Raw genomic sequence first — 22,162 nt, 5'->3', positions numbered from 1 at the left:
GACAAAGGGCTAATATCTAGAATCTACAAAGAACTCAAACAAATTTACAAGAAAAAAACAAACAACCCCATCAAAAAGTGGGTAAAGGACATGAACAGACACTTCTCAAAAGAAGACATTTATGCAGCCAAAAAAACACATGAAAAAATGCTCACCATCACTGGCCATCAGAGAAATGCAAATAAAAACCACAATGAGATACCATCTCACACCAGTTAGAATGCCAATCATTGAAATAACAGGTGCTGGAGAGGATGTGGAGAAATAGGAACACTTTTACACTGTTGGTGGGACTGTAAACTAGTTCAACCATTGTGGAAGTCAGTGTGGCGATTCCTCAGGGATCTAGAACTAGAAATACCATTTGACCCAGCCATCCCATTACTGGGTATACACCCAAAGGATTATAAATCATGCTGCTATAAAGACACATGCACACGTATGTTTATTGTGGCACTACTCACAATAGCAAAGACTTGGAACCAACCCAAATGTCCATCAGTGATAGACTGGATTAAGAAAATGTGGCACATATACACCATGGAATACTATGCAGCCATAAAAAATGATGAGTTCATGTCCTTTGTAGGGACGTGGATGAAGCTGGAAACCATCATTCTCAGCAAACTATCACAGGGACAAAAACCAAACACCACATGTTCTCATTCATAGGTGGGAATTGGGAATTGAACAATGAGAACACATGGACACAGGAAGGGGAACATCACACACCGGGGCCTGTTGTGGGGTAGGGGGAGGGGGGAGGGATAGCATTAGGAGATATAACTAATGTAAACGACAAGTTAATGGGTGCAGCACACCAACATGGCACATGTATACATATGTAACAAACCTGCACATTGTGCACATGTACCCTAGAACTTAAAGTATAATTAAAAAAAATGAACTTAATATGACAGAATCCTAGTTTTGAGACAAAATATTTGTACATAGGAAAAAAGCCTGGAAAGAAATAGGTGAAAATGCATATAGTGACTATTTGTGAATCAGTATGAATTGTGGACATTTTATTTTCTATTTTCTATTTTTTGTTGTTGTTGCCCAAATTACCCACAGCGGCTGGGTGCAGTGGCTCATGCCTGTAATCCCAGCACTTTAGGAGGCCAAGACAGGCAGATCACCTGAGGTCAGGAATTCGAGACCAGCCTGGCCTACATGGTGAAACTCCGTCTCTACTAAAAATACAAAAACTAGCCAGGTGTGGTGGCGCGCCCCTGTAGTCCCAGCTATTTGGGAGGCTGAGGCAGGAGAATCACTTGAACCTGGAAAGCAGAGGTTGCAGTGAGCAGAGATTGAGCAACTGTGCTCCAGCCTGGGCAACAGAGGGAGACTCCATCTCAAAACAACAGCAACAACAAATTACCCACAGTGGCTTGTAATACTTTCATAAATAAAAAAAACCTATCAACATTTTCTAAGAGGTCCAGGTAATTATGGTCATGTATATACAATTAGATTCTCAAAGCAAAAATAAAGGTTATTTGAAAAAAATTATGGGGCTGGGCACGGTGGCTCATCCATGTAATCCAAACACTTTGGGAGGCCGAGGCAGGCGGATCACCTGAGGTCAGTAGTTTGAGACTGGCCTGGCCAACATGGTGAAATCCCTGTCTTTACTAAAAACACAAAAATTAGACGGGCATGGTGGTGGGTGCCTATAATCCCAGCTACTCAGAGGCTGGGTCTGGGAGAATTGCTTGAACCCAGGAGGTGAAGCCTGCAGTGAGCTGAGATCATGCCACTGCACTCCAGCCTGGGCAACAGAGGGAGACCCTGTCTCAATTCAAAAACCAACCAACCAACCAACCAAAAACAAATATCACTATAGAAATGTTAAAAAACAAACCTCCTAATCACATATGCACCCGAACCAAGGCTCGAGGAGCTCTTACAGGCCCTTTATCATGAAAGTTGGTGTGGCCTACTCACCCCTCTCTGTAGCAGGGTTCTTTCTTCAGGTAGAGTCGTCTGAAGAACGCTTCAATTTTTGTAGCTTCACCCTCAGGTAGAGTCGTCTGAAGAACGCTTCAACCTTTGTAGCTTCACCCTCAGCTCACCAAATGGTGACCCAAGCCTCTCACAACTCCTTTTATACTCCAGAAAGAGAGGGCGGGCACACTGCCCTGGTTGATTACATTATCTCTGATTAATCACATAATCTTTTTTTCACACTGCCATTAATTGCAATCCAGGGAGGGGCTCATGAAGCATTTTGTTTTGAATCTATTATGTAGATTAAAAAACCAATCACTGAGGATTATCTAGTTTGGCTCACATTTCTCAGTTTTAAAGTTTTTCTTTTAAAATTTATCTGTTTAAACGTTTCAAGTTGACACATAATAATTGCACATATTATGGAGTACATAGTGATATGACACGTATAACATATAGTGATTAATTAGATCAGAGTAATTAGTGTGTTCCTCATCTCAAACATTTATCACTTCTTTATGTTGTGAACATTCAATATCCTCCTTCTAGCAATTTGAAACTGAATATTATTGTTAACTATAGGCATCTTACAATGCTACAGAACACTATAATTTATTCCTATGTAGTTGCAATTTTGTATTCTTTAACAAATCTCTCCCTATTTTCCTCTTCCCTCTACCCTTCCAAGCCTCTAGTATACCCTGTTCTACTTTTTACTTCTATAAGATCAACTTTTTTTTTTAGCTTCCACATATGAGTGAGAACAATCTGTGTTTAACTTTAGGTTCCTGCCTTCTTTCACTTAACATAATGTCCTCCAGTTCTATCCGTGTTACTGCCAATGACAGGATTCCATTTTTGTATGGATAATTAGTATTCCATTGTGTATATATATCACATAAAGGTTTTCTTTAAAAAAAAAAACTTCAAATCTTGTCAACATTTATCACCTTTAAAAATAATTAAATCAGGCTCTCTCCTCCTGCCGAAAGGAAAGAAGGCCAAGGGAAAGAAGGTGGCTCCGGCCCTGCTGTCGTGAAGAAGCAGGAGGTTAAGAAAGTGGTGAATCCCCTGTTTGAGAAACGGCCTAAGAATTTTGACATTGGACAGGACATTCAGCCCAAAAGAGACCTAACCAGCTTTGTGAAATGGCCCCCACTATATCAGGTTGCAGCGGCAGAGAGCCATCCTCTGTAAGTGGCTGAAAGTGCCTCCTGAGATTAACCAGTTCACCCAGGCCCTGGACCACCAAACAGCTGCTCTGCTACTTCAGCTGGCCCACAAGTACAGATCAGAGACTAAGCAAGAGAAGAAACAGAGGCTGTTGGCCCTGGCCAAAAAGAAAGCTGCTGGCAAAGGGGGCATCCCCACTAAGAGACCACCTGTCCTTCGAGCAGGAGTTAACACCATCACCACCTTGCTAGAGAATAAGAAAGCTCAGCCGGTGGTGATTGCACACGACGTGGATCCCATCGAGCTGGTTGTCTTCTTGCCTGCCCTGTGTCATAAAATGCGGGTCCCTTACTGCATTATCAAGGGGGAGGCAAGACTGGGACGTCTAGTCCACAGGAAGACCTGCACCACTGTCGCCTTCATACAGGTTAACTCAGAAGACAAAGGCGCTTTGGCTAAGCTAGTGGGAGCTATCAGGACTGACTACAATGACAGATACAATGAGATCCGCCGTCACTGGGGAGGCAATGTCCTGGGTCCCAAGTCTGTGGCTTGCATTGGCAAGCTCGAAAAGGCAAAGGCTCAAGAACTTGCAACTAAGCTGGGTTAAATGTACACTGTTGAGTTTTCTGTACATAAAAATAATTAAAATAGAACAAATTTTCCTTGAAAAATTAAATCAGGGTTGTGTTTACATTAACTCAATAAACCTTTTCTGAATTTCTACCATGTACCCTGGTACCCTGAGCTGTGCTTGGAGAGAGGAATAGAAGGAAAAACAGGACATGGTCACAGGCTCTACATAGCTCACAGGCTGCTACGATGGAGACAAACAAGAAAACTGAGAGCACCTATGTAGGAATGTGGCATAAGGACATATAAATACTGCTGTGAGTAGCAAACAGTTTAAAGTGCTTGCCTAGTGCCGTTCTAAGCCTGTTCTACGTATAAATTCATTTTATCCTCACAACAAACCCATGAGGTAGATATTGTGATTTTCTTTACATTGCAGATGAGGAAACTGAGGTACAGAAAAGTTATGTCACACAACAAATAATTTGAATCTGGATTCAAAGCCTGGCTTCAGATTATAACAGATAAATAACAGTAATGCAGAAAGTGTTATAGTAGGGAAAATAAAAAGTGCTAAGGGAAATCAGAGAGGGTCATCTAACTGAGACCTAGGATTCAAAAAAGGCTTTCATGAAGAGGTTATGACCTCGGAGCTGAGTTGTGGATGAGTAGTGGGTTTTGGAATATGGGGGATGTGGGCAGAAAAGAAACAGGGAATCCCTAGAGGGAATTAAACAAGTTCCTGATTGTGAAAGAATTTATATTCCATACTAGGGAATATGAAATGGTGAGATAATGGGGAACTTTAAGGGTTTTAAGCAAGAAAGCCTTAAATCAAATTTGTGGTTTTTAAATAAATAAGTGTTGGAAAGTGCAAGAACAAAGGTGGAGAACTAAATCTGGGGTCTGTGTAGCATTAACAAATCCCCCCCTGGGCCGGGCGCAGTGGCTCACGCCTGTAATCCCAGCACTTTGGGAGGCCGAGGGGGGTGGATCATGAGGTCAGGAGATCGAGACCATCCTGGCTAACATGGTGAAACCCCGTCTCTACTGAAAAAAAAAATACAAAAAATTAGCCAGGCGTGGTGGTGGGCACCTGTAGTCCCAGCTACTCGGGAGGCTGAGGCAGGAGAATGGAATGAACCCGGGAGGCGGAGCTCGCAGTGAGCCAAGATCGTACCACTGCACTCCAGCCTGGGCGACAGAGCAAGACTCCATCTTAAAAAAAAAAAAAAAAAAAAAAAAATTCCCCCCTGGCCGGGCGAGGTGGCAGACGCCTGTAATCCCAGCACTTTGGGAGGCCGAGGCAGATTAATCACTTGAGGTCAGGAGTTCAAGACCAGCCTGGCCAACATGGTGAAATCCTATCTCTACTAAAAATACAAAAATTAGCTAGGCATGGTGGCACATGCCTGTAGTCCCAGCTACTCGGGAGGCTGAGACAGGAGAATCACTTGAACCTGGGAGGCGCAGGTTGCAGTGTGCTGAGATCATACCATTGCACTCCAGTCTCAGTGACACAACAAGACTCCATCTCAAAAAAAAAAAAAAAAAAAATTCCCCCCTACTAGCCTGTAAACTTCTGAACTCCTGAAAGGCATTCTCTTGAGAGTGATTAATCTTATTATATCTGAGTAGGGCAGAGCCAAAATGGTGCCTGTGAAAGGAGAATGCTCAAATAAACTTTTGATGGGAAATAAGTGAAAACCATCTATCACTACTATAATCCAAAACTTTTTAAAAAAGAATGTTTTATCAACTTTATTAAGGTTTAAAGAGTAATTGACAAAAATTAAATATATTTATGGTGTACTGTGTGATGTTTATATATATACACTACACATTGCGAAATACATAAAGCTATTTAACATATCTATCACTTTACATATTTTTTTGAGATGAGAAAATTTAAGATCTAATCTATTCAAAATTTTCAGGTGTGTAACACATTATTATTAACTATAGTCACTATGCTGGGTAATAGATCTCCAGAACTTAGTCATCCTAACTGAAAGCTTGTACTCTATTTTTTTTTTTTGAGATGGAGTTTTGCTCTCATTGGCCAGGCTGGAGTACAATGGCACGATCTCAGCTCACTGCAACCTCTGCCTCCCTGGTTTGAGCGTTTATTCTGCCTCAGCCTCCCAAGTAGCTGGGATTACAGGCATGCACCACCATGCTCGGCTAATTTTTATGTATTTAGTAGAGAGAGGGTTTCACCATATTGGTCAGGCTGGTCTCGAACTCCTTGCCTCAAGTGATCCACCTGCCTTGGCTACCCAAAGTGCTGGGATTACATGCGTGAGCCACCGCACCCGGCCAAATGTTGTACTCTTTAAACAACATCTCCTGATTTTTCCCCAAGCCTCAGCCCCTGGCAACCACCATTCTACTCTCTGCTTCTATGATTTTGACTTTGTTAGATTTCACATGTGAGATCATAGAGTATGTGTCTTTCTGTGCCTGTTTTATTTCACTTAGCAAAATGTCCTCCAGGTGCATTCATGTCATAGCAAAGGACAGTATTTCCTTCTTTTTTAAGGCTAAATTGTATTCCTGTGTGTGTATATACTGTATATACATGTTATGTATATGGTTTTCTTTATCCACATTTTAAAATCTACATTTTCTTTATTTGTTGGCTATTGTGAATGATGCTGCATGGATCAAGGGAGTGTAGATGTCTCTTCAACATACTGATTTCATATATTTGGATATATACCCTGAAGTGGGATTGCTGGATCATATAATAGTTCTATTTTTAATATTTTTAAAACTCTGAAACTACTTTCTGGATATTCTTGTTTTAAGCAAATGAGTAAATATATTTTGAATAACAGAACCAGGTTTATTTTTATTTTTCTTTCTTTTCTTTTTTTTCTTTCTTCTTAGAACCAGGTTTCTCATTGCTAGAGACAAGTAGACACAAATATGGAACATGGGAAAGCTAGAATGAATCTCAGAGTATTGGATTGAATTTTGAGCACGTCTAATAATATTCAGATTTTGGTTCCTAAATACTGTTTTCCTCTAAAAGGAAACAGGCCTTATTGAGAAATGACTTGTTCCAGGGCTGGGGCAGGAAAAGTACAAGGTAAGATTGGAAATTTCTTTCTTTCTTCCTTTTTTTTTTTGAGACAGAGTCTTGCTCTGTTGCCCAGGCTGGAGTGCAATGGCATGATCTCGGCTCACTGCAACCTCTGCCTCCCAGGTTCAAGCAATTCTCCTGCCTCAGCCTCCCAAGTAGCTGGGATTACAGGCATGTGCCACCACGCCCAGCTAATTTTTTGTATTTTTAGTAGAGACAAGCTTTCACCCTGTTGGCCAGCCTGGTCTCAAGCTCCTGACCTCAGGTGATCCATCTGCCTCCGCCTCCCAAAGTGCTGGGATTACAGGCATGAGCCACCACACCCAGCCTAAGAAATTTCCACGCCCAGAGATTTCTTGAGCCAGAGATTAAGGAAGTACTCAAAGGCAGAAGGAAAAGACATGAAAAGGACACCAAAATCTGCTTGAAGAGACTTCCAGTTGCCCCAAATCTGGGACGATTTGAGTATCAAAATAAGAAAAGATAGAAACAGATTATAACTCACTGAATAAAAGGAGAATCAATGAGTACATATTTAAATAAGTATTTGAGCAAGAAGGGAAACCTCCTTACAGTAGAATGCCAATTGGTACATGTTGAAGAAATGGCAGAATTAGAAATCACCATTTGGAAATTATCATGGTAATAATTTGGGATCGAATCATCAGTGGATGATAAAACTAGTGCATGAAAGTTTGATATGCAATATGGTATTTATATAACTTTAAAGTATCTCTTCGGAGACATTAATTGTAAAGGGAAAAGTAGTTATTTTAGAAATCTGGTAGCCATCACCATGACCAAGTGACCAAAGTTAATATCTTCAGTAATGGGAGAAATTAACATCAAGCATTTCCTGATAGGATACGTGGAGAGGAAAATAACATCACTTCAGAGATATTCCTGCCAAACGTGTATCCTGAATCTAATCATGAGGAAACATCAGAAAAACCCAAACTGAGAAACATTCTTGGTATAATTGGCTTGTACTAATCAGAAACGTCAAGGTCATATAGAAGATAAATAATAACTGATCCACTATTAAGATCAAAGAAAACATGACATGACCACTCTAGCCAGTCTGTGACCCAGGTTTTTATTTTACTATAAAGGATGTTACTTCGACAACTAGATAAATTCTAGCTAGTGTAGATGAGCTAAGACTATTGTATTGATGCTAATTGCCTGATTTTGATAATTGTGCTGCAGTTATGTAAGAGAATATATATTCCTGTTTTTGGACCCTGGGGTTTTAGGACACTAAAGTGTTAAAGATATAATGTCTGCAACTTCCTTGCAAACAGTATAGAGAAAGAAATAATGTATATACATAGGTAGAGAGAGGATGATGAAACATGTTGGCAAGATGTTAAAATTCAGGGAATCTGAGTGAAAATAGGCAGGAATTCTTTATATTTTTCTTGCATCTTTTCTTCATATCTCAAATTACATCAAAGAATGTTTAGAAAACTAAGATGATTTGTGGTAAAGCCCTCCGGACAACTGTCTGAGGCACAGTGTCTGGTAGTCTTTACTCCCCACAATTGTAAGTAGAATTAGGGCATACCAGCTCACAGGCAGAAAAGGAAACTCCTCTACATGAAATACGGGGTTGGGGGCGGAGAATTACAATGTGGTGAAGGAAATGAATGGTTGAAATCTGAAAGTTCATTAAACTCTGGACTACTCCATTTCTTTATATCTGTAAAAAAACTTTATAAACAACTCTTAAAAACAGAATAACAAGGGACTATCAATGCTTTTGTGTACAAATAAACACGAAGAGTAAAATGAAATCTACTTTGTTTGGGGATCTAAAAGAAACTCTTATTACACTGTGAGCTGGGTAGAAAGTTGCTAGAAATTAAGCTAGAGGCAGATAGGAGAATGTCATTATAAGTTTCACTTGACTTAGGAGGCATTACATGATTTGCCCCAGGTCTTTCAGTAAAGATTAGGGTTTATTTCTCAAATATTGGGCTCTTGACTGGGGAACCAATTGGATGAATGGGCACAGTGTGTAGGTCACAACCTTCTTTCCATGTTCATGTGATATATCCTTCCTCACATTCAATCATCAACACTCTGCCTTATGAATACATAGATGCATTTATTCAATGAACAATTATTATTCTTCCTGTCAGATACTGTTCTCAGTACAAGACAAAATGGTGAATAAGTTAGATAATATCCCTTTTCATAAAGAGCTTATAATTTACACTTTAGTGGGAGGATTAGACAGTAAACAAGACCCAAATATTTCAATATGACTATTGCAACTTTTGAAAGGTGCCAAGAAGGAAACCTGCAGGATGATATAATTGAAAGAAAGAAAAATAAGTTTTCAGATCTTCCCTGAGGAGGGTTCATTTTAGTTGACGTCTGAATGATCACAGAATGCCTGGGACTGAGGGGTTTCCTGGGATAAGGAACTTTCAGTTTTAAAACAGGGACAAGTCTGGCAAACTGAGACATGAGACACCCTAGCACATGACTGGCTTATGCTTCAAAGGAGCACTCTAATTTGTGAATGAAATGATGTCACAGCTTTGTTTTAAAATAATCCAGCCAGGAGAAGGTGCAGTGGGGGATATAGTTGAAAAAAGATTGGCCATATGTTAATTAATGTTGTGATGGGTAGTGGAACTCATTATACTATTCTAAATTTGTAGTTTGCAAGTTCAAGAAGATAAAAATAAAAGGATGCTTCTGGCTGTTTTATGGAGAATGGTTTGCAAGGGTTAGGAACACGACATAAGAGGCTAGAGCAGTAGTTTAGGAGACATGATCATGGCTTGGATGAATCAGGTAGGGGTGGAGGTGGTGATAATATGGGATGTATTTTGCATATAGAGCAATGGAAAGGATGTAGGATTTGTGAAGAAGTGTGGATTTAATAGGTAGAGGTCAGCGGAGAGGTTGGCAAAGGAGATTTCAAAAAAGCAGTCGGTGAAGGAAGACAAACCAGCGAGTGTCAGGTCAGTGAAAACTGAGTCAAGGAGAAAACTGGTCAACTATGTGAAGCGCCAAGGAGAAATTAAATGGAATAAGGTTAGATCATTGAGTCTTGGGGCAAAAACTGAACTGAAGAGAGATTGGAGAGAGGCAACATGGGAAGAAGGAATATGGAGAGGTTGGACTCTTGAAAAGTTTTGCTGTGACTTGGAAAGGCAGTAGATTATTAAGTCAGATTTAGTAGTTTTTGAGTTCAAAGGAGAGTTTTTTTTTTTATTTCCATAGGTTATTGGGGAACAGGTGGTGTTTGGTTACATGAGTAATTTCCTTAGTGGTGATTTGTGAGATTTTGGTGCACCCATCACCCGAGCAGTATACACTGCACTCAATTTGTAGTCTTTCATCCCTCACCCTCTTCCCACCCTTTCCCCCTGAGTCCCCCAAAGTCCATTGTGTCATTCCTATGCCTTTGCATCCTCATAGCTTAGCTCCCACTTATGAGTGAGAACATACGATGTTTGGTTTCCCATTCCTGAGTTACTTCACTTAGACTAGTATTCTCCAATGTCATCCAGGTTGCTGTGAATGCCATTAATTTATTCCTTTTTATGGCTGAGTAGTATTCCATTGTGTATGTATACACACACACACACACACACACACACACACACACACACACCACAGTTTCTTTATCCACCAAATGAGAGTTTTTAAAACATGGAGGAAATTCTATGTAAAAAAGTTATGTGTATTTACCAGTATATTTTAAAATGGCAGAAAAAGATGGGAGACACCAGGAAATGGTTGTAAGCTGGATGGAAATGACATAGTACAGAGGGAAATATTGATGATGTGAAAGAGAAACAGGGGTGAAGCCATTAAGGGTGTAAGGAGGTTGGCTTTCAGAAGGCAGTAGTGACATTTCACAGTAGTAGGAAGAGATGGTAAATATATTAATAAATGCATCTTTTTTAATGGAGTTGGATGGAGACAGTAGGGGCTTGCCCTTCTGATTGCTTCTAATTGCTTGGTGAAATATATGGTAAGTTCATCAATCAAGGGGTGATAGATGAATGCAAAGAGGTTGGAAATATCAGTCCTAAAATCTGATATTCCTTTATTAGTGCTAGATTCCTTTCAGACTTAAATTGTTTTTCTTGAGACAAGGTCGCCCAGGCTGGAGTGCAATGGCGAGATCTTGGCTCACTGCAACCTCTGCCTCCGGGGTTCAGGCGATTTTCCTGTCTCAGCCTCCTGAGTAGCTGGAATTATAGGCACCTGCCACTATGCCTGGCTATTTTTTTGTTTTTTTAGTAGAGAGGGGTTTCACTATGTTGGCCAGGCTGCTCTTGAACTCCTGACCTCATGATCCACCCGCCTTGACCTCCCAAACCTTTCCTTAGCAAAATTATCCAAAGAGAATGGGAATCTAGCTAAGATACCTGGCTAAGAGGGAGGCTAAGAGGGAGGCAATGGGAGATATTGATACTAGTAATGGAAGAAGAAAACCTGCTTTGATTGTTTTCTCTCTTCTAGGATGAGATGCAGATTTCTTTTAAACTATATAGAGCTCAGGTTGAGTTAATTATACTCCTTAGTTTAGGGCACACTATTCATTCTGTGAGGATTTCTTTCTTTCCCTCCCTTCCTTCCTTCCTTCCTTCCTTCCTTCCTTTCTTCATTCCCTCCTTCCTTTTTTTTGACAGAGTCTTGCTCTGTCACCCAGGCTGGAGTGCACTGGCGTGATCTTGGCTCACTGCAACCTCCGCCCCCGGGGTTCTAGTGATTCTCCTACCTCAGCCTCCCGAGTAGTTGGGATTATAGGTGACCGCCACCAAGACCGGCTATTTTTTTTTTTTGTATTTTCAGCAGAGATGGCGTTTCACCATTTTGGTCCTAGTAGAGACGGGGTCCTATTTGCTATTTCTACGTCTCCCCGCCACCCTCATAACCATTCTGATGTGTTTAATATGCATCCTGTTTTGTGTGCATGCATTTTAACTTACATAAATGGTATTGTGATAGAAATCTCATTTTCATCTAACTTTTTTCTTTTTTCTTTTCTTTTTTCATTTGTGATACAGGGTCTCTATCTGTCACTCAGGCTGGAGTGCAGTGAGTGGAGCAATCTTGGCTTACTGCAACCTCCGCCTCCTGGGTTCAAGCGATTCTCATGCCTCAGCCTCTTGAGTAGCTGGGATTACAGGCATGCACCACCACACCCGGCTAATTTTTGTACTTTCAGTAGAGACGGGGTTTCACCATGTTGATCAGGCTGGTCTCAAACTCCTGACCTCAAGCAATCTGCCTGCCTCAGCCTCCCAAAGTGCTGGGATTACAGGTGTGACCCATTGTGCCTGGATTTTCAGATCTATCTATGATTCTATACACATCTGGATTTTAAGGACTGGATTTTAAGATCTATCTATGATTCTATATACATCTGGGCTCCTGCCTTTTCTAGTGGCTGGGTGGTAGGTTGTTCAAGGAGTAAGTGCATCTACCACATTTTGTTTATTCACTCTCCAACCATGCACACCAGATTCCATCATCATCCTCAAACTTGTCTCCTTTTGGATGTTCAAAATGTCTTAGGGATGGATACCCAGGAGCTAAAGTGCAGGGGCATGGTGCATAGCTATATTGATTTGACCAAGAAACTCTAGATTGTCTTCTGGATGGCTGTATCAGTGTCCACCAACAGTCATGAACATTCCTATTACTCCCACCCCCAAACCCTCCAACACTTGGCATTATCCAACTTTCCAATGTTTGTCCATTAATGGATCTAAAGGGTTATGTCACTGTATTATTTTTTAAAAATGTGTATACCTCTGATTATTAAGTTTAAACATATCTTCACACATTTGCTGAACTTTTGAGTTTTTTTCTGAAGATTGCCTATTCATATCCTTTGCCAATTTTTTTTTTTTTGAGACAGAGTCTCACTCTGTTGCCAGGCTAGAGTGCAGTGGTACGATCTCAGCTCACTGCAACCTCCCTCTCCCGGGTTCAAGCAATTCCCCTGCCTCAGCCTCCTGAGTAGCTGGGACTACAGGCACAGCCTGGCTAATATTTTTTGTATTTTAGTAGAGACGGGGTTTCACCATGTTGGCCAGGATGGTCTTGAACTCCTGACCTCGTGATCTGCCTGCCTCAGCCTCCCAAAGTGCTGGGATTACAGGAGTGAGCCAACACACCTGGCCATCCTTTGCCTATTTTCTTTTAGATTTCCTGTTCCTTGTTGATTTGCAAACCATAAAGAATAATGATTAAACATGAAGGATAGTGAGTACCCCTATGGTTGAGGTTGGAAGTGGGATGGAATCCTGGAGGGAGATACAGAGGATTTTAACTGCATTGTAATGTTTAATCCTTCAGGTTAGGTGGTAGATCAAGTATACTTATTGAATTACTCTTTATCTCTTTGTTAATATTACATGTTATGTAATTTTAAACAAATTCTACAGGTTAGAATTTATTCATTATTCTAAATCAGTACTTTACAGGCCAGGCACGGTGGCTCATGACTGTAATCCCAGTACTTTGGGAAGCCAAGGTGGGTGGACCACCTTAGGTCAGGAGTTCAAGATCAGCATGGGCCAACATGGTGAAACCTCTACTCTACTAAAAAAACACAAATTAGCCGGGTATGGTGGCGCACACCTGTAATCCCAGCTATGTGGGAAGCTGAGGCAGGAGAATTGCTTCAACCAAAGAGGAGGAGGTTACAGTGAGCTGAGATTGCACCACTGCACTGCAGCCTGGGTGACAGAGTGAGACTCCATCTCAAAAATAAAAATAAATAAATAAATAAATATTATTACTTCTCAAAATGCGGTTCCCACACCTAGTATCATCAGCATCACCAAAGAACTTGTTAGAAATGCAAAATTGGCTTGGACTTCAGACCTCTGGAATCAGAACTCTGGAGGTGGGGCCCATCAGTCTGTGTTTTAACAAGCCTTCCATGTGATTCTGGGACAGCTAAATGTTTTGAACTATTGTAGGCAAAAACTAAAGCACATTTTCATGCTATCTTAAAAAATAAGAAAATCTCTTTTGCAATCTCAACTTCTTTTTTTCTTTTTGCATGCTATTTCTTGGTATTTGCACTATTTTATATGCTTGGACCAAGTTTCAAAATCCTATTAATTATTTATTGCTTATGCAAAGCTACAGCTTCAAATACTGAACATGTAACTTTATCACTTAGTGTCTCGAATTCAAATTAAACTAATCTAATTTTTATTATGTTTTAAAACACAGAATATCCAACATTGATCTTTTATAATTCAATTGCTAAATCATTCAGTCTCAGTTTTTGCAAGTTTATTCTTTTTATGAAGAATGGAAATCCCTGTAACAATGTTCACTGAACTTTCAGTACAATTTTTTGAAATCTTGTTGCTAGAGAAACTAAGAACAGTTCTAGATTTCCCTCTTTCTCTGATGCCAGCTTCCAACCAGAACTTGGGAAACATTTCCTTTTGAACAACCTGTCATTTCCCTACTGGTAAACACCAAGGCTCATATTCCAAAGAAGTTTTCATGGTGGTGATTAGGCACAACCTTGCTAAAAATTTGCATGTACATTTAATGTCAGCAAATTTAAAAAATTTTCCCACTATTTTGCAAAATAATTTCAGAGATAATTTATCTTTCTTTCTTACTAATCTCCATTTGGCTATACAAGACTGGCCTCAGGTAAACTCTGACTGATGCAAGTGAAATTTGTCTGTGACACTACATCCTCTTTTCTGTTCTTTTAAACTCCTGTCTGGGCCTGCCTGTATTCCATTGGTAGGATTCTCCCCAACTTCTCTCTCACTACGGCCGTGGCCCTTTCGCCAGATTCTTGGCGGTTGAGGTGTCCTCATTGTGCCCTACGGGTTAGGATAGTCACCCTCCTTCCCCCTTGCCATGTAAACACAAATTAAACTGTAGGGTCCCTATTTCCTCAGGGTTCTGATCTGCTGACAAGGGTGTTAATGGTTTAAGTGGAATTAATCAACCTTGACTGATTGTACTCAGCTTGTGGTTTCACACTTCTTTTAGGAAAAACTTTCATTGTAAAAAGAAGTAAAACAAACAAATGCAGAATTCAACTAATTCATTGAGTGAGGGTTAGTTTTGGCACTCAGCCAGTTGGCTTTTTTCTCTGGGGTGAAAAGGTACGCTCTAAGGCAATGGTTCTCTACTGGGAGCGTTGAGAACCATATTGATGCCAAAACCCTGTTTCCAGAAATTCTGATTTAATTGATCTGAGCCTGGGCCTGGGCATTGGTGTTGAAATCTCCCAGGTGTTACTAATATGGTTTTTCCTCTTTATCCTGCTTTAGAATCACCTGTAGAGCTTGTTAAATCAGGATTCCTGGCTCCACTGCACAGTTTCTGGTTCACTAGGTCTGGAATAGGGCCTGATGATTTGCATTCTAACAATTCCCAGGGGACGTTGATGCTATTGGTCCAGGAACCACATTTGCCTCGACCAGGAAATACTTCTACTGTCCCCACCCTCTTAAAAATACTTGTAAACTTAAGAATGGTTAAGAACATTATTCTAATTCATTCACTTTATCATCATGAATCCATGGAAGCCCCTTTCACTTTAGTTTCTAAAAATATTTAATTTAATTTTAATTTAACAAATATTTAATTTTAATTTTAAAACTATTTAACCTTAATTCCCCATCACTACTCTTATTCTCTCTTTTCCCACTTTCTCTAATTCATTTGACATGTTACCCAGTTGAAGTGTCAATCCTCAGAATTAAGTCATAGAGCTTTTTGCTTTGAGGAAAATTTTAAATTGGAATGCTTTAGGGGGACCCTTATGTTACAAAAAGACTATGCTGCTAAGACTATCAAATATGTTATAGTTTAAATGTTGTATTTATCATTATTTACATAAATAATATAATAAAACCTTTTCTAATAAATAAAAATTAAGACTGCTTTTTCTTGTAGTGATACTTATTTTCTATTAAGTAGGAAATACTATAAAGAAATTCTTTAGAGTATTTATTATCCTTGTGGATAAAACACAGTTATCGCGACTGACACAAATGTTACAGTAGAAAAATATTATAAAGTCATACATCAATTTTAAAACAGGATAAAAATTATATGGATAAAATATAAGTGGTGATTTGTTCCCCACGAAAATTCCTGAGTTCAGATGTTTTTGAATACCACTGTTTTAATCTAATCTAATCTTGTTATATAATTCACTCTGTCTGGGAAATTAATGGGATATCCTTAAACTTTTGTGATTGGTTTTCAAATACCAGTAAAGCAGAGGGATAAAATGACCTGTGTCAAAATTAAATATAGCTATTGATTTTTCTTTTTCCTTTTCCTTTTTTTTTGAGACAGAATCTAGCTCTTGTTGCTCAGGCTGGAGTGCAGTGGCAGGATTTCAGCTCACTGCAACCTACGCCTCCCAGGTTCGAGCGATTCTCCTGCCTCAGCCTCTGAGTAGCTGGGACTGCAGGCACCCGCCACCACGCCCAGCTAATTTTTGTATTTTGGTAGAGACGTGGTTTCATCTTGTTGGCCAGGCTGGTCTGGAACTGTTGGCCTCAGGTGATGCACCGGCCTCGGCCTCCCAAAGTGCTGGGATTACAGACCGGGAGTGGTGGCTCAAGCCTGTAAACCCAGTACTTTGGGAGGCCGAGGTGGGTGGATCACCTGATGTCACGAGTTCCAGGCCACCCTGGCCAACACAGTGAAACACTGTCTCTACAAAAAATACAGAAATTAGCTGTGCATGGTGGCGCACGCCTGTAAACCCAGATACTCGGGAGGCTGAAGCAGGAGAATTGCAGCCTGGTTGACAAGAGCGAGACTCTGTCTCAAAAAATAAAAAAGTGCTGGACTTAACATGAGCCATCGTGGCCAGCCTAAATATAGCTATTGATTTTTAACTAGCCATAATCTTCCGGAAGGCTGTCAGCTTTGTGATCCTTTGATATCACAAAGGCACAATCCTTGTGACTAACTCATCAAAACTACTATAAATGTGTTTATGATGTTGCTCTAAGTATTACATTGATTTTTATAAATATTTCTACATTTATTAACATTCGATACCTCATATTATCCCTGAAAGAATCATATGACACATATGTACAACTGGCAAATGCCACTAATTTTAGTTATAGAATAAATGAAGTTTATTCACCATTTAATTAAGGAGGGAAATGCATATTATTGCTTTTTTTTTTCTTTTAAGACAGAGTCTCGCTCTGTTGCCTAGGCTGGAGTGCAGTGGTGCAATCTCGGGTCACTGCAACCTCTGCCTCCCTGTTCAAGTGATTCTCGTGCCTCAGGCACCCAAGTTGAGTAGCTGGGATTACAAGCATGCCACTATGCCTGGCTTATTTTTTGTATTTTTAGTAGAAACGGGGTTTCACCATGTTGGCCAGGCTAGTCTCAAACTCCTGGCCTCAAGTGATTTGCCCTCCTTGGCCTCCCAAAATGCTGGAATTACAGGCTGAGCCACTGTGCCTGTCCTATTACTGTGTTTTTAATCCTTCTAAATCTTTCTTCATCCACAGGGACCACACCCCATGTATTTTATTACCTAAAATACTGTTTATATGTTAACATTCTTACAATTATTATTATTATTATTTTGTGAAGGAGTTTCACTCTTGTTGCCCAGGCTGGAGTGCAATGATGCGATCTTGGCTCACTGCAACCTCTGCCTCCTGGGTTTAAGCAATTCTCCTGCCTCAGCTTCCAGAGTAGCTGGGATTACAGATGTGTGCCACCACACCCAGCTAGTTTTTGTATTTTTAGTAAAGAAATTTCACCATGTTGAAATTCTTTAGTAAAGAATTTAGTACAGAAATCTTTACTAAATTCTTTAGTAAAGAAATTCTTTATGAAATTCTTTACTAAAGAAATTCTTTAGTAAAGAAATTTTACCATGTTGGCCAGGCTGGTCTCGAACTCCTGACCTCAGGTGATCCACCTGCCTCAGCCTCCCAAAGTGCTGGGGTTACAGGCATGAGCCACCGTGCCTGGTGACAATTTTATTATTATTTTTTAGAGACATGGTGTCTTGCTACGTTGCCTGGGCTAACTCTTGGGCTCAAGCAATTCTCTAGCCTCAGCCTCCTGCATAGCTGCGATTATAGACTTGAGCCACTGCACCCAGCATAAATGTTTTGTAAGTACTGCATTGGCTTAGACCCCAGTTTTAGAGGTGTGTGTGTGTGTGTGTGTGTGTGTGTGTGTGTTTCTCTGTGTGTGTGGTGATGGCTTCTGTGTTATTACCTTCACTCAGTGGAGAAATGTATCAGGTTTACTAGTTCTGTATTCAAATGTCCTCAGAGAACCATTGCTCCTAACTTAGAGTGAACCTGGATCCCAGAGAGATTGCATGGCATCAGATGTAGTAGAAAAACATATTGCTTTCTGTTTCCTTCCAGTTACACTGTTAAACCATGTCCAAAGTAAAACTTTTTTTTTAAACGTAATTGCCATACATTCTGATGTGTGTTCAATTTGTGATGAATGGCAGTTTCCACATTAAAAAAATGTTTGTTCGGCTGGGCACTGTGGCTCATGCCTGTAATCCCAGTACTTTGATAGGTCAAGGTGGGCAGATCACTTGAGGCCAGAATTTCTAGACTAGCCTGCCAAAATGGTGAAACCCCATCTCTCCTAAAAATACAGAGATTAGCCAGGCATGGTGGTGTGCACCTGTTATTCCAGCTACTCGGGAGGCTGAGGCACGAGAATCACTTGAACCCAGGAGGCAGAGGTTGTAATGAGCCGAGATCACACCACTGAACTCCAGCTTGGACGACAGAGTGAGACCCTACCTCAAAAATTAATTAATTAATTAATTAATTAAAAAAGTTTGTTCAGGAATTTGCTATATTTTGTTTGTGTAACTTTAAAAAAAATCCTAAGTATACTTCCCCATACATTTCTCAATGCTATTGCTCATTAGTCTATATGCCTCCTTCTGCAGCTTTACAAAGTCATTTAGAATTCTAATCCTGTCCTCCCAAGTAATAACCATTTATTCTAATTTGCTATTATCTGTAAATTTAATCATGTGCTCTAGTCCCTCAGCCATAAAACTGCTGCAAAAGTTAAATAGCTTTGTATTCAAGATTAAACAACGCATACTATAGTTTGGTAAGCATTATTTCTTGAGCAAACTCACTGTGAATCTCCAACCAAACTATTTTTTAAAGAGCTCTGTTCTAGCCTTTATTTTTTCATGTAATTATTCTGTGTAATACAAAATTAAGATATTTTTAATGACAAGATATATTCATCTTATTGTTTTCTTTTTTGAGAAACAGTCTTGCTCTGTGGCCCAGGCTGAAGTGCAGTGTCATAATCTTGGCTCACTGTAACCTCTGCCTCCCAGGTTCAAGTGATTCTCATGCCTCATCCTCCCAAGTAGCTGAGAAAACAGGTGTGCGCCACCACATCTGGCTAATTTTTGTATTTTTAGTAGATACCAGGTTTAACCATGTTGGCCAAGCTTGTATTGAACTCGTGACCTCAAGTGACCCACCTGCCTCAGCCTCCCAAAGTGCTGGGATCATAGGCATGAGCCACCTCGCCCAGCCTTATTGTTTTCTTTTAATCTATCAAGTCTCTTAAAGGAGAAAATGAATGCTTATAGATTTTGATGCCTCTGTCAGGTCAGTAGCTCTTCAAAGGCAGTGTCTGGTGATATTTCTGTGACTAACCCCTCCTTCCCATGCCATAGGATGAAGGCTCACATCGGGTATGTAATACCTTAGTGCAATACATTAATTATTAATGGATTAGCTAAAAAGCAGATATAATTTGATCAGTGTAACAAAAAATATATTGTGCACTATTTTTTTTTCCAGACGATATTTTTTGGTAGCTTATTCCCAAATAGAATTCAATCTTTTGGGGCCTAGATACTGATTGAACATGCTCATGTGTTTTTGGAAAATTTGTAACAATAAAATATTTTAACTCTCATAGTTATAATATGATTGATTTTTGTTTCACTCTCCAACTTCCTCCCCTCCATCATACTTGCTCTTCGGTTGAAAGCTGTACAGTGGCATAGGACATTTTTGAGATTTAATAAGGGGATAGTGAATGGGGAGATTTTTTTTTTGTGGATTTAATGGCATTTATTTACCTGGTTTGCACCTACCTCCATGTACAGCTAGCTGCCTTGGTATAGAAAAGGCTTCCAGAAATAGTCCTACCATCCACTGTGCTGTGCTGACCCATACATAGGATGTATGCAGCCATGAGCAGGTCCTGTGGCTGGTACTGGTAGTATGTGAGCATAGAGGAGATTCAAGATTTGAGAGGTATGAATCCAGAAGCTAAACTGTGGAAAATCTTATAGGAAAAGATCAAAAAACAACTTAATAGAGATTTACCAAAATTTGACAATATTCCTGAAAATTTGTATGACTTCACTCATAATAAATTGTGACACTAGAAGAAAGTTTTCAAAATTTCAGTAACAATTTCAATTATATATGTGAGAGGAAAGATTGAATTGTTATTTCTAATTTTTTCTTTATTAACTATTATAAAGTTGTCATAAGAAGAGGCAATCAAAGAGTATGTGGTTGACCGGGCGTGGTGGCTCACGCCTGTAATCCCAGCACTCTGGGAGGCCGAGGTGGGTGTATCACAAGGTCAAGAGTTCAAGACCAGCCTCACCAAGATGGTGAAACCCCGTCTCTACTAAAAATACAAAAATTAACCAGCCATGGTGGTGGATGCCTGTAATTCCAGCTACTCGGGAGGCTGAGGCAGAGAATTGCTTGAACCCGGGAGGCAAGGTTGCAGTGAGCCTGGGTGATAGAGCAAGACTCTGTCTCAAAAAAAAAAAAAAGTGTATGTGGCCATAAACATGCAGATAAAAGTGTTATGGGAGGCTGGACATGGTGGTTCATGCCTGTAATCACAGCACTTTGGGAGGCCAAGACAGGTGGGTCACTTGAGTCCAGTAGTTAAGACCAGCCTGGGCAACATGGTAAAACCCCATCCCTACAAAAAAGTATGAAATATTGATCAAGCATGGTGGCTCGTGCCTATAGTCCCAGCTACTCAGGAGGATGAGAGAGGAAGATTGCCTGAGTCCAGGAGGTTGAGGCTGCAGTGAGCTAAGATGGCAGGCACCACTGCATTTACAAAAAAAAAAAAAAAAAAAAGCATAATAGATATGGGTCAGGAACTTAATACAAATATTACATTATCTCTTCTGGATTTTGTGATGTCTATGTAGGCATTTTGCATTAAAAATTATAATTTGTTATGTTTTTTCTTTCCAAATAAATGTTCATTTTTGGAATAAATTTTTTATTGTTTTAGTTAAAGAGAACCCCCAGACTGAAAATGTTACAGGCCTCACAAATCGGTATTTGCCCTTCATTCCATCTATTCCCCACTAATTAAACCAAATCCTCTTCTTAGTCTGTGATTAGTTTAGAGGTGGACAGTCTCTGCCCATTGGCTGTGAACCAGGAAGCAGGTAGCCCTCATTGCTTGCAGTTATCTTGATGGACACCAACTCAAGAGGCAGGCAGAACTGAGAGGACTTTGGAGACTGAGGGAACTGTGCTTGAAACCTGATCTATCTTTGGACACACAATATAGAAGTTCTCTAGTATTTATAATATCAGAATTTTCACAAGCAAAGCTCATTCTTATATTTAGTTGAATAGTTGAAATTATAAAGCTAGGTTAAAATGCAAACAAATGTAGAAAAATAGTGCTCATTTTTCTAAAGGATTTTCCATTGGTATGGAAACCATTCTAATCATTACATCTCTGATAGTTTATAGCATTGAAGCTATAAGAAAGTATCAATTTGGATGTTTTAAGGTACTACTTTATTAAATGTTAATTTATTTTAAAACTGCTGATTTATTCAATGTTAAAATACAGAAGACTAGGAATAAGAAAAAATGAATTCAGGTATGCCTCTAGAAATTTCATTTTGATGTACTTCCTTCTGATCATTTTTCTATGTATATGTTTTATTTGAAAAAATCTTTATGATAGTTTAATACAATTTTATCTTCTCCTTTTTTTCTATTATTCCCTATGACCCTAGTGATTTAGCACAGAAGGGCCTCCATGTTCACAAATTCAGGGGGCTTTTTTCACATTGTAGCCTATGTGAACGGCGTCCACTGGAGTTGTGCAGTAAATAGCCTGTGTGACTGTATGAGGCAGCCATTTACATCTGGGCGTCTAAGCCTTCATGTTTACCTAGAGCATCTTATGGTACCATCCCAACTACAGATTTGGGAATAAAAGGCAGGGCAAACCACTCCTGGCTGCCTTCCAGTACCATCATATAAATTTAATATTCAGCCTTTGTGCTTTTTCTCAGGCTGGCTTTGTCTGTAGCTGTGTCTCACAGCTGTCCTCTTACAA

The 22,162-nt window shown here is 39.8% G+C and overlaps 2 protein-coding genes and 1 pseudogene across 6 annotated transcripts in view; 2 read left to right on the top strand and 1 right to left on the bottom strand.

Moving 5' to 3' along the window:
• The window catches only part of LGSN (lengsin, lens protein with glutamine synthetase domain), a 297,657-nt gene that overhangs the window by 21,164 nt on the left and 254,331 nt on the right, over positions 1-22,162 (top strand). The window lies entirely within an intron of this gene.
• Positions 1-22,162, bottom strand: part of PTP4A1 (protein tyrosine phosphatase 4A1) — a 67,149-nt gene that overhangs the window by 31,145 nt on the left and 13,842 nt on the right. For 2 of the 5 annotated variants that reach the window (NM_001385255.1, NM_001385258.1), the window contains exon 4: positions 1,951-2,144. The exons of 1 other annotated variant lie outside the window; for it this stretch is intronic. The gene's annotated coding sequence lies outside the window, so the exon portion shown is untranslated. Of the gene's footprint in view, positions 1-1,950; positions 2,145-19,913; positions 20,108-22,162 lie in introns of all 5 variants that reach the window. 2 more of the 5 variants (NM_001385257.1, NM_001385256.1) reach the window with 2 other exon arrangements.
• Positions 2,937-3,794, top strand: RPL7AP34 (ribosomal protein L7a pseudogene 34; annotated as a pseudogene).

Source organism: Homo sapiens, chromosome 6 (genome assembly GCF_000001405.40).
Source record: "Homo sapiens chromosome 6, GRCh38.p14 Primary Assembly".
In the NCBI taxonomy this organism is placed as follows: domain Eukaryota; kingdom Metazoa; phylum Chordata; class Mammalia; order Primates; family Hominidae; genus Homo; species Homo sapiens.
Note: the sequence above shows the minus strand (reverse complement) of the source record. Positions and strands in the feature narration are given on the sequence as shown.